The 12280-nt window shown below is 48.9% G+C and overlaps 1 protein-coding gene across 3 annotated transcripts in view, besides 2 other annotated features; it reads left to right on the plus strand.

Moving 5' to 3' along the window:
- The window catches only part of GALNT2 (polypeptide N-acetylgalactosaminyltransferase 2), a 224334-nt gene that overhangs the window by 134992 nt on the left and 77062 nt on the right, over positions 1 to 12280 (plus strand). For all 3 annotated transcript variants that reach the window (NM_001291866.2, NM_004481.5, XM_017000964.3), the window contains one exon: positions 10357 to 10510. In NM_001291866.2, coding sequence (NP_001278795.1) covers positions 10357 to 10510 — 154 coding nt within the window. The remainder of the gene's footprint in view (positions 1 to 10356; positions 10511 to 12280) is intronic.
- Positions 5482 to 6175: an enhancer, noted in NCBI's record as "H3K27ac-H3K4me1 hESC enhancer chr1:230334008-230334701 (GRCh37/hg19 assembly coordinates)". NCBI's record gives its function as "activates a minimal SCP1, AML or CMV promoter by ChIP-STARR-seq in primed H9 embryonic stem cells {active_cell/tissue: H9 hESC(primed)}" and the evidence as "EXISTENCE:reporter gene assay evidence [ECO:0000049][PMID:30033119]".
- Positions 7591 to 8090: an enhancer, noted in NCBI's record as "H3K4me1 hESC enhancer chr1:230336117-230336616 (GRCh37/hg19 assembly coordinates)". NCBI's record gives its function as "activates a minimal SCP1, AML or CMV promoter by ChIP-STARR-seq in naive H9 embryonic stem cells {active_cell/tissue: H9 hESC(naive)}" and the evidence as "EXISTENCE:reporter gene assay evidence [ECO:0000049][PMID:30033119]".

Raw genomic sequence — 12280 nt, forward strand, 5'->3', positions numbered from 1 at the left:
TTTGGATTTCCTGGTTTTTTTGTCCTTAATCATGGATGTGTGGGATTCCCTATTTCAAGAGACGGTTTCTCACAGGTGAAGAAAATTTCCTGTGATACCACATATCCAGTGACAAATAATAAAACATAATTTATGGGCCTTTGTAATTGAAATGGATCTATTTGTTTGTAATCCTGGCCTTGTCCTCGTCTTTTCTTTCATGGTGTAGCATTATGACCTTCTAGAGGAAGAATATTAGGATTTTTTTTCTTTTAAGCACAGTAAAATTACATTCAATTTGAGATCAACCAAATAAATCTGAGAGCCTTGTCCTTTGATATTAAATACATTCTGTTTCCCTTCCTTGGCTGCTTTCCCAGCGGTTGCTCTGTTTTACGTGGGGTAGCTTTAGATTTGTTTAAGCTGTCTTTCCTGGGGAGGATTTGAATGAAGAGTTGCAGTACAGCAGTGAATACCTGTATAGAATCCTGAAGCCTCCTGCAGCCTGAATCCACTGAGACTCTCAGTTTCCTGCACAACGGGACCTGCATCCAGGAAGATACCTCCCCTCCCCTTGTACACCTGCGGGTGGTAGATGACAGCTCTTTGCCCAAGAGCATATGTCCTGATCTGCTGCTGAAGGACAGTCGCAACTGAGAGTCCTCTAAAGACCGCATTTGTGCATGTGCCTGTGCGTGAGCCTCTGTGTGCTGGGGTTTGCATGCGCCTCTCTGTGCTGGGGTGTGCGTGCGCCTCTGTGTGCTGGGGTCTTCATGTGCTTTGTGATGTTAATTCTTTGAAGGGTCAGTTTTATAGGTTTCTGTCATCTTTTTTTTTTCAAATATAAGGTTTAGTAAAAACAAAAATTTTAAGAAAGAAGTGGCATTGTTTGGAAAGGTAGCATTATTTTAAACCAACATTTATTTGAACAAGTCATCCAAATGCAAGTAGTCCCCTGATGACAAAAGCGTCTTTTTCAAAAAGTTCACTTGAAGATTGGTTATTAGGATCCCAGAATGAACTGTCCCATGGAAATGGTGTCCTGAGTGGCACTTAGGAGCGCTGTCTGGCTGTGTCTCTGGCTGCAGCCAGGTCCTAGAGTGTCAGCCACAGAGCTGATGCTGGCGGGGCCCCGAGCAGCCTTCCCGGGGCCTCAGTGCCTATGCTCAGCCTCCACTCCCAGGCACCATGGACCGTTACAGTCGCCAGCCACTCTCTGCTCAAGGGACACTGTCCTGCTCTCCAGCCTCGATAAGATGGGGAGAAAAGTTCCCAAAACTAAACCAGGAAAAAACAGATTCTGAAAAGGTAGCTATAACTCAGAGCCTGGTGGATGGGTTACGGGAGGGAGAAGAAATTCTGTACCCAAGGAAGTAGCAAAGCACAAAACCTTGTGCCCTGAATGATAGCGGGTGTGATGAAGAGTATCAGTGGGGAGGCATGCCGACTAAGTCAAAGATGGGGAAGAGAAAAAAGAAAAAGTTGCTGGGCCTGAAGTCTGTGTAACCCAGGGAGCAGTGGCCGGGTAGTGGCTAGTCAGGACAGTGGGCAGGGATGCGTCCTGCAGAATGGACCGGCAGACAGAAGTGGTGGGAAGTTCACCTCCCACACCAGCCTTAGGGCCCCCTTCTCCTGCAGGGGTCCAGAGCCAGGACTTGTCAGGCCACCGTAGGTCTGCTCTGTCTCTCCAGGTCCTGGCCCTTCTCTCCCAGAGGCAGAAGAATTAACCTGGGCCCATCCCCTCTCTGACTGTACACATTGTTTTTCATGGCTACAGGGATAAGAAGGGAAGGCCTTAGGGCCATCAGTCCAAAGGTAATGGACAAGGAATCTCCCTTCCTCTTGCGGTTAGCCCAGCCCTTCAAATGGACTGGCCTCCATTTGCCATCAGACATCAGATGCAGCTGCGAGGTGGCCAGGAGGGGAGGGACACTCTCCCCACAGTGCCACAGGCCTCTGGGAACAGTGTCAGAACAAGTTGCAGGAACGCCTGTAGGGCTTAGCAGGATGTTCATTTTCATTACTGAAGTGCACTGCTTAGCAGCTTCCGGGCTGGGCCCCCATCCACCATAGAGGGGAGCAGAGAGAGCTGTGGCAGCCTATTCCAGTGCGTGCGGAGGGGTCAGTGCTGAAGATGACAAGCATAGGTCTGTGGACACGAGGGGAGGAGAGAGAGCAAGAAGAGCATCCCAGCTCTGCGGGGAGAAGAAGTGGAGCCTGCCCGTTCCCATTGGGCCTCCATCTTCTCTGTCCAGACTTGATCTCCAAACTGAAAAGGGTACAGCAAACAAGGTTAGAAGGGTATTGAAGTCTGAGTCAGGTGGAGAGAGACAGGACTCATTTTAAACGGCTTTCAGTGAATGTGTCTCCAAGTCCGGACCAAGGTCAAGACAGGGAGGGCACAGCCAGAACCCGAGAGGTGGCTATAATTTCTGGGGAGTGACTTGGGAGTCACTGAGGTGCCGGCAGAGCAGGAACAAACACCATTGTCTCTGTGTTTGTTGCTGTGTTCAGTGGCAGTTAGATGTGGTTAAACTTGAGCTCTAGCCTTGGTGGAATTTCAAGTTATTAGACAGAAGAGTGGAAGCACTTATAAGGCCCCCTGGCAAGAGGGTTTTAGAAAAGCTGTGGTTGGGATAGAGCTCTGCGTGAGGGGGCAGGAAGAGGCTTGCAGAGAGAGGAGAAAGAAAAGAGAGAGGGTGCAGAGAGGCAGCAGCTAGGGACCCCAGGGAGGGCTCCTGGAGGAGGTAGCCACATTGAGAGGCAGCTCAGCTGGCAGGAGGGGTAGACACATACATCGCAGTGGCCCTGCCTTATCTGTAAGTATGCACAGCATCAGCGGTGCGGGCATGGCTAGGAAGACCAGCTTTAGTAAGAGTTCCCAGGTACACCTTCTGGGGTTGCCGATGGGACTGACAAAACAGTAATGAAGTATTAGCCAGGTTAGTGGAAGCATGGCAGCCTTCCTGAGAGGTGCTGTGCCCGCACCGCCACAGATTCCACCGTGGCTCCTCCTGGAGGAGGAGGGAGCGCTGGGGAGGCACCACTGGCCACACAAGCCGGAGGTGAGCAGAGACCTGGACGTGAGTTTGGGGCTTGCAGGGGCTGGGCTGGCTTGGAGGTGACATGGCATTTGGCTGGGGACAATCCTCAGATAGGGGCAGGGCCTTCCTGAGCAGGGGGCAGATGTGCACTAGGCTGTACACACTTGCACCAGGGTCGTCAGCCTCCTCACTTTCGTCTCCTGTCTGAGCATCCTTCGTTCCACAGCCAGAGGCACATTCCTGGAGTGCAAAGTGGATCAGCACTCATTTACTCCAAATATCCTGTGCACTCTAGAATGTGGGGAGTAAGGTTCAAGTACTTCAGCCCAGGCTAGAGGATTTGCAGCCACTGGGCACAGGGCCCCCTCACCTCCTGCCTGCCGTCCCTCCCTACTGGGTCTCTTCTGTCTCTGGGTGTCTTCTGTTACATGCCTCCTGCATCTGGCAGGCTCCTGCTCACGCTTCAAGACCCAGCCCAAGTGCCCTTTCTCCGGGGCTTTCTTGGAACCTTGGCTTGGTTATGGAGCTATCCCATCTCCTCCTCACTTTTGGATGGCGGGTCTTTCCAGTGAGGTGTTTGTTAATTTCCGTACATTTGCTTGGGCTTGGCATTTTCACTGTACTGGGCTGTTCTGATCAACTTGGGGAAAATAGAGGGTGGTGGACTGTTTTTCTCCAAAATTAAGACCCAAAATAAAATGTCTGTCTTATGAGGTCACCCATACATTCCTCAGGACGGCAAGTGCGAGACGTCCCTTTAGTATTCTTCCAACCCTAGGATTGAGAGAGGGTGGGTGTGGGTCTTGACAGGAGATGGGAAGGTACAGCTCCACCTGGGGACACAGGCTTCTGCATTCTTGCCCCGTCCAGCACACAAGCTGCTGTCAGCAGGCAGGCCCCGCTTCTCCTCATCCCATCCCCACTGAGCAGGAGAAGTTCCGCATCTGAGTGGGAGCCCCCAGAGGCTTTGTGGCCCTCAATAGCCCTCTGGGTGATGCAGAGAGCAGGAGAAAATGGTAAAGGAAGGTGCCCATGGCATGCACAGGTGAGGGGCAGAGGGCTGGTGCTTCCCGTCTCTGCACAGTCCTGAGAACTGGGTTTCTCAGACCCAGTACCGCCAAGGAATGTGAAAAACAGCTTAAGTGGAAAACCTAGGGACCTAACTGATCATGATATGGCTGATAGTAAAACTAATTTTCTCTTAGAGTAGGCCCCTGGCACTTCCATTTTGTAGTGGGCTGTGTCTGGACTATTCCTCTTTCAAGCACTAACACCCCTGGCTTCAGAGCAAGCCTCTCTTCCTCCACACTCCACCTGACATGGGACCTGTCTCGCATCTCCCCCTGCCTGAAACAAGCAGAGAATGACATTGAGTTGTTATTTCCAGGTGTTTCTTGGGAGCAGCAGATGGAAATGAAAGGATACAAGTGTAGACGTAGGTGAAATCATCCACTGGCCCCGCCTTCTCACTTCTCACAGCGCTATGGGGAGGGCGGGAGGTACTCGTGGGTAACAGCAGGGCATGAATTCAGTGCATCCGCAGGTCTGTACCCCTGCTCGCCTGGGCAGTGCCCACAGGACCCCCATAAAGAAAGCAGGGATTCCCTCTATGCTTCCTGCTCGCCCCCCCGGGGTCAGTTGCAGAGTGGGACACCCCTCATGGGTGTCACAGAGGGCCTGGTGGCTGGGTGGTTCCCAGCAGCCCTTTCTGGGTGAGGGCATAGGGGGTTACATCAGAGAGGCAGGGACATTCTGTTTGTGTTCGGTCATTTCTGCCTGTAAATATCAGTTAATTTTATAGTTAGTAGTGTAGGACTTTTGCTGTGATCATCTCATTTAGTTGTTATAACAACCCCAGAAGTGGAATATTATTTCCATTTTATACAAACCAGAGTGTCAGAGGGAGTCAGTGAGCCAGGCTCACCCTCATGCTTGGATTTTGTGCTCTGTGTGTGTGTGTGCATGCGTGCGTACATGCGTGCGTGTGTGTGTTCTGCTGCTCCTCTGCTCAAGTCCTTGAATCCTTATCAGTGACACAGCATTGGCCTGGACCCCTGTTGGCCAGCTCTGCACCCTCTGTTCCCCCGTGCTCCAGCCAGCGATCTGACTGATGGGGCAGGCAGGCTCGGGAGGGCTGACAGGCTTTGCGGTGGAACACATTTAAAAAATGCCTGCAAACGAGCGAAAGAGGCGTAGGAGTAAGCGTCCGGCGCAAGACCACAGCACGTCTCATATGCGGCTGTATCGGCACGCAGCGATGAGATGTGTAAGAACTAACACGAAGCTGCGTTCCTCCCAGTCACGCGCAGGATTGGATTCCTTTTCACGGTCAGCCTCCGGTACCTTCGACCCAGGACGAGACCCTCAGTAGTAAAGCCCTTAACAGGTGCTTGTGGACTGCGCATGTGGGATGCTGAGGTGCTGCGGGCGAGGCTGAGTCTGTGAGGTGAGGAGCTCCATCTTCACCTGGGTAGGAAAGGGAGCCTGGAGCAATACGAGGAGTGGCGCGGGCAGGACAGCAGCCCAGGAGAGTACGAGGAGTGGCAGGGGCAGGACCAGCAGCCCAGGAGCGTACGAGGAGTGGCAGGGGCAGGACAGCAGCCCAGGAGAGTACGAGGAGTGGCAGGGGCAGGACAGCAGCCCAGGAGCGTACGAGGAGTGGCAGGGGCAGGACAGCAGCCCAGGAGCGTACGAGGAGTGGCAGGGGCAGGACAGCAGCCCAGGAGAGTGAGACCCTTGTGGGCCCAGTGCTTCTCAGAGGACATGGCCATGCATGTGTGGAGCAGGGCAGTCTGTGGGACCACCTGAGGGTTTGACTGGGACTAGCGCAGACCTCATTCCAGCCCAGGTAGGTCGGCATGGGGTCGCAGACAGGTGACTTGTTCTGTCTGCGGAATAATCAGCTGTAAGCTTCTCATTTTTACTGAATCAGGGGTTTCAAGGCTGGTAAGGTCAAACAATTCCTTCTTTGGTTTCAAAGACCACATCTAAGAGAAGTCTATCTTCTGGAAAGAAATTTCCTCAAAAATATTTTCATAACCTTATTTAATAAGCAAACTTTTCGCAGCCCTTTTTAGGATAATGCTCTCTTTCTTTTCTCATGTTATTTAAATACCTTTCTCATGTTATTTAAATGTATGTTTTATTTTCCTGTCATCTTTGGTGATGAAGCTAGTTTCTGCCTCCTCATGTAAAATGTTATATCTTTGAAGTATTTTCCGTCAGCTGCTTCTGCTTAGCCAAGTCCACTTTCCCGAGATTCTCATATATTTTTATTTTCTAAAGCTGTTTAATTTCCAGAACTATTTTTAAAGATTTTTAAAAAGATGATAAAAGCACAAGATGATGTATGGATGACATGTCATATTTTTAGGAAGGCAATATATTCAGACGTTTTGTTGGTTGTTTTGTGGCTGTTTCTCTCTAACCTCTGACTCATACCCTACTCTGTGTACCTCTCGCCATGTCCCTGTTTGCGTGGGGTTGGGCTGGGACGCGTGTGCCCTCTGCAAACCTTGTTCTCCATGGATTTTCCTGCCTTTGCCTCTGGGGGTAGCTTCAAACCTAGCAATTCTATATAGTACAGAAATAACCAATTTTAGTAATGGTTCTTTAGCTTAGCGTTTTCCAAATTATGGGTTGTGACCCATCATTAGGTGGTGAAGCCAGTTTCGAGAGATACCTAAAACAAAAATAGAATAGATCTGTTCCTCGCATATAGTGAGGGTAAGTTTGGTATTGTGAGACTTTTGTATCAGTTGGGTGTGTATGTTTGCATTGTGACACCTGGGTCACAGTGTTAAAAGTGTGTCATTGTCAAGCAAACTTGAAAGCCCCTGTAGTATTCCAGTACTGCTAAGCTTTTATGAAAGAAATACTGTTGATAGTCTGTCTCTAGTAAAACAGCTGTGTGTCTCAGGGAGATTGCCACAAGACAAGGCAGGGCCCACACCAGGGTCCTGTTGAAGACGCTCCTGTGTCAAAGGAGGCGGCAGGGCAGGGTACCGCTCAGTAGGCTCATGTAGTCTTTGGGTGCTGAAGAAAGATGATATTTTTGTGAAGTTTCAAGGGCTTCTCCAAGTTCATTTTTACTCATGATTCAAATCTCAGTTCAGATATTCTTTCTGCAGGGAAGCCGCCCCTGGTTTCCCAGTCTAGATAAGATTGCTCCATTAGATGCTTCATTCTTCACCCTCAGAGCACTTAGCTCAGTTTTTATTGATACATTTATTAGTATGGTCATTTAATTCTTTTTTTTCTTTTTTTTTTTTTTTTTTGAGATGGAGTCTTGCACTGTTGCCCAGGCTGGAGTGCAGTGGTGCAATCTCGGCTCACTGCAACCTCCGCCTCCCAGGTTCAAACGATTCTCCTGCCTCAGCCTCCTGAGTAGCTGGGATTACAGGCGCCTGCCACCACGTCTGGCTAATTTTTTGTATTTTTAGTAGAGATGGGGTTTCACCATGTTGGCCAGGCTGGTCTCGAACGCCTGGCCTCGTGATCCACCTGCCTCGGCCTCCCCAAAGTGCTGGGATTACAGGCGTGAGCCAGTGCGCCCGGCCTAGTACAGTCATTTGATTCTTGTCTGTCTCCCTCTACCTCCTAGAACATGAAGTCCACAGCATGGGTCACGGGCCTGTGTGTGCTTATTCTCCCTGCAGGATCTAGCATGACACCTCATGTGGAGTCACCTAGTATGCACCGCAGGCCAGGGTCTGAGCTGCCCTGTGAATGACTGGCATTAGACATCTTGCAAACCCTGTGCTGTGATGGTCTTATTCCAGAAGGGCTGTGGGGGTGTGAGAGCACAAAGAGATGTATGGGTGGAAATGGGATTGAAGCTTCTAGAGCTGTGCAGAGGCCTTATCCCATGGCCACTGCTCTCCTTGCACACAGGCCCACACCAACCAGAGTCCTCAGACTTTGCTGTCCCCAGCACGCCGGTGAGAAGCAAGTAGGCTGTAAGCAGAGTTACATGGTAGGATGAAACCTCTCTCGGGTGGTGGTCTCTTCTCTGGCTGCGCATGGGACTCCGTCATGGTTCTTTATTCCATAGTTCAAAGTTCCGTGGTGCAGGGTATTCAGGACATTAAATACGTTTGTTAGAACCAGCTCATTGGAATTCTGCCGTAGGTGCTGCTGGTTTAGATTTTAACAAAAGCTTCAAAGCCTCTTTTGTATTAGTCCGTGAAAGGATAAACTCACTGGTGAGGAGTAGAAGCTGCTCGCTCTTGAGCGCAGGTAGGTGTTATTTTTCTTCTCATCCTTGAAAATATATGAGGGTGAAGGCAGGAAGATGAGGAGAGAGTGGAGGATCAGTAAGTATTTTTAGGATGGTCTTTGCACGGAAAACATGTTTCCAGTAACATGTTTTGGAAACATTTTATTTGCGGCATAAGAAGATGCTGACACCTTGGCCGGCTCCCACAGGCAGCTGTTTATTGGGGCCGTGGTATCATCGCTGTAGCCAGGCTCGTGGGTTTTGGAACTGATTTTCGATTTGAGAGGCCAGACTTCTGTGACACCCCCCAAGCATCATTTCCACGGCAACCAGCTGTGATGAGATGGGGGTTCTGACCTCGCAGGACCATTGCAACAAGAAGCAGATGAGCTTTTAGATAGAAAATTTACTCTTCTGTCTTGAACAAATTACATGTAACTGATTCTCAGTTTCCTCATCTCTGAAATAGAGAAAGGAACACAATGGCCCTTCAATTGTGTAATGAGGGATTTCTGTTGGGAAAGTAGATATGGAGGTACACATGCTATTATCATACCGTGTTTTCAAGGTCAACTGCACGACCCAAGGGTTGACACGCTGCAAAAGAGCTGTCTCCCCCTTGCTGCCCTGTTTCGTGTAGCTGCCGGCAGCCCTGCCTTCCCCTCTCCAACCTTGGCTCTGACGGCCAGGCTCTTGCTTGCTCCTTAGTCACACTGGCCTCCTGGCTGGTTCCTGAATGGGCATGCTCATGTCGACACTAGGACCTTTGCACTGCGGTGCCCTATTCTCCCGGAGAGTTGCATGCCCACACCCTGCCTTTGTTCAGTTATCTGCTCAAAATCATCTTGCTAGGCCTTACCAGACCACCCCATAAAGAACAGGAACCCTGTACTCCCTGCCCCCATAACAGCCTTATGTTTCTTCATGGCAGTTCCAACCACTGGAAATTGTATGAGTTTCATGTGAGCAGGGTTGTTGGTGGTGTTTATTATTATTTTTTAGTTTGTCATATCTATGAAGTGGAACATTGTAGGCCATTAAGTCCTCGTGAAGAACCTTTTGTTATTCTATTTACTTATTTTGTAGGAAACTTAATTTCAAACAATGAATAGCGTATCCGAGATCATATAGGTGGCAAATGGCGAATGGTGCTTGATTGAAACCCAGGTTGACACAGAATCATAAATGTTCTCCTTGCTTCAAGTCTGCCTCTCCTTCCACCTGTCTTCTGCTGTTTGAGCATCCTGCCTTTGTGCATTTCTCTGGCTCTGCCTTTATTACACCTGGGCTCATCCTGACTTCACTCGCCTAGCAGTGCTCTCCTCTCAATGCTCCTTGGTCGCCAACACTGCCTCTGCCCTAGGGTAGAGCTCCTCAGTGCAGTGGTGTGTTCTTGGAGAACCTTGTGCCTGGCATTCTAGGGTTCAGGCCAATGCCAGGGGACAGGCAGGCTGCCTTGGCTTCCTTTCTTCCAGGAAGAGAACAGGTATGATGTGTGTGTTAGGAATGGCCAGGCCCCTGCTGTGCATATGAGGACACCTCTGAGAGCCACATCCTTCACTTTCTCCCCGTGGGGTCAGGCATACTAACAGCTGCAAAAAGGACCCCTTGACAAGGTCTCACCAAAGGGTATTTTGATATCCTGTTCTTTAGGGGTTATTTTTTGTATAAACATTTATTTTTGTGTTACCTGATGTTACATGATGGAATACCTTATGTGCAGTTTATACATGATCTTCTTCACCCTACCTGAGATAATGTCAACATTATAATCCCTGGAAAGGTGGGACAAGCTGAGAACATCTCCTTTTATAGAAAACATGAATGATGCCACAGTTACAGGTACTTTGATCTTACTTTGTTCACTGGACAGATGCCTGTACACCAGGCCTTTAACTTTCATGCTGTAAATGGCAAACCTGCAGTTTCCTATTCTCTGGGTTGTAGACAGGATGATGCTTGCTTGTGCTGTTTTCAGCTAGTTTGTTGTTTAAAATGGCCACTATATAAAGAAGCCATGGATGTGATTTCTGGAGTTAACACTTACTGCAGTCTCTGTGATGAGCACTTGGTCACATTTTCCCTCATCCCTACCCTCTGCTCTGCTCTTTTTAGGGAAAGTACGGTGGCCAGACTTTAACCAGGAAGCTTATGTTGGAGGGACGATGGTCCGCTCCGGGCAGGACCCTTACGCCCGCAACAAGTTCAACCAGGTGGAGAGTGATAAGCTTCGAATGGACAGAGCCATCCCTGACACCCGGCATGACCAGTAAGTACCCCACTAAGCACCTGCTGCAGCTTCATTTGCTTTCACACAAACCAGTACGTCGCTTTCACCTGTGACACTAGAACTTCTCCATTACTCTGGGAAATTGAATGTGTGTTGTAAAACTAGGAAAAATCCTGAGGTATATGGCAATGGAACTTCATCCATAGGCAGTGGAAGGATGGTTCTAGATTCAGCTCTAGTCTTTAGGTGCCCTGTGGCAGTGTGCAGAGGCTGTGGGTTTCTGGCCAGAGCGTGGAAGTCAGAAAGAGAGTTGTGTGACTGGCTTTATATTTAGTGATCACTTGTTATTTTTATGATCCATTCACAAAAATGCAAAATTTGTCATTGTTCCCAACCTTGGAGGAAGAAAATCTAAATTCCTGCTTATTGTGACAGCTTATATTGGAAATGTTCTAAAGATTAGAAAGGAGAAATGAACTACCCAGCACAATAGATGTTAAATTGAGCAGAAACACAGGAGGGACAGGTGCCACATCTCCACACCCTGTACTAAAGGAAGGGCTCTTGTCCACATCTTTCTTTCTATTTTTAGAGATAGGGTCTCCCTCTATCACCCAGGTTGGAATGCAGTGGTGCGATCATAGCTCACTGTAACCTCAAACTCTTGGGCTCAAGCAATCCTCCCATCTCAGCCTCCTGAGTAGCTAGGACTACAGGCATTCACCACTACATCCAGATAATATTTATTTAAAATTTTTTATTTTTATTTTTTGGTAGAGGTGAAGTCTCTCCATTTGCTCAGGCTGGTTTTGAACTCCTGGCCTTAAGTGATCCTCCCGCCTTAGCCTCCCAAAGTGCTGGAATCACAAACATGAACCACTGCTCTCCTGACCTCCTTCTTTTTCTTTTTCTTTTTCTTTTTTTTTTTGGAGACTGAGTCTTGCTCTGTTGCCTAGGCTGGAATATAGTGATGTGATCTTGGCTCACTGCAACCTCTACTCCTCTACTTCCCAGGTTCAAGCAATTTGTGGCTCAGCCTCCCGAGTATCTGGAATTACAGCTGCCTGCCACCACACCTGACTAATTTTTGTATTTTTAGTAGAGATGGGATTTCACCATGTTGGCCAGGCTGGTCTCAAACTCCAGACCTCAAGTGATCCGCCCGCCTCGGCCTCCCAAAGTGCTGGGATTACAGGCATGCTCCACCTTGCCCACCCCTTTTTATTCTTCAAAGATCTTGAGAGTGGAGGGTACTTTGGGGTCTATGAAGCTCAGCTCAGGAGGTTGGTAGGCATTTTAAAAAGAGTATTTGTCACCACTTATCAGGAAAGTGATATGCATAACCCTCATTGTTATCCCATACCTGTAAGTTTGCTGATAAGAACCTTGATTGGGAGGTCTTTCACATTGGAATTCTCAGTGAATTAGTCTTGTTTCAGATTATTAAAAAATAAGGAGCTGCATTTTGAAGGCAGCTGTTTTCCTGGGTGCTTGGTATATCTTCCTGCTAAGTTAGAGTCATTCATTCATCAGTGAATGGAATATAGATTACACATCTACCATATGTCAGACTCTGTGCTCGGATCCTAGCATTTCACCCAGAAAAATCTGGTCCCATTCCAGCTGCTAGGGGTGGCAGGTGCACCAGGAAGTGAGGTCGTGTAGCTCCATGGGTTGGGCAGTCTACTTTGCATGAATACTTTTGAGGCACTCAGGAGGGTGGGAGGGTCAGGACAGGTCCCAAGAGCGGTGAATTGGGTGGGGACACCCAGGAAGAAGGAAGTGCAGAAGCCCTGCCAGGAAAGCATG

Source organism: Homo sapiens, chromosome 1 (genome assembly GCF_000001405.40).
Source record: "Homo sapiens chromosome 1, GRCh38.p14 Primary Assembly".
In the NCBI taxonomy this organism is placed as follows: Eukaryota; Metazoa; Chordata; class Mammalia; order Primates; family Hominidae; genus Homo; species Homo sapiens.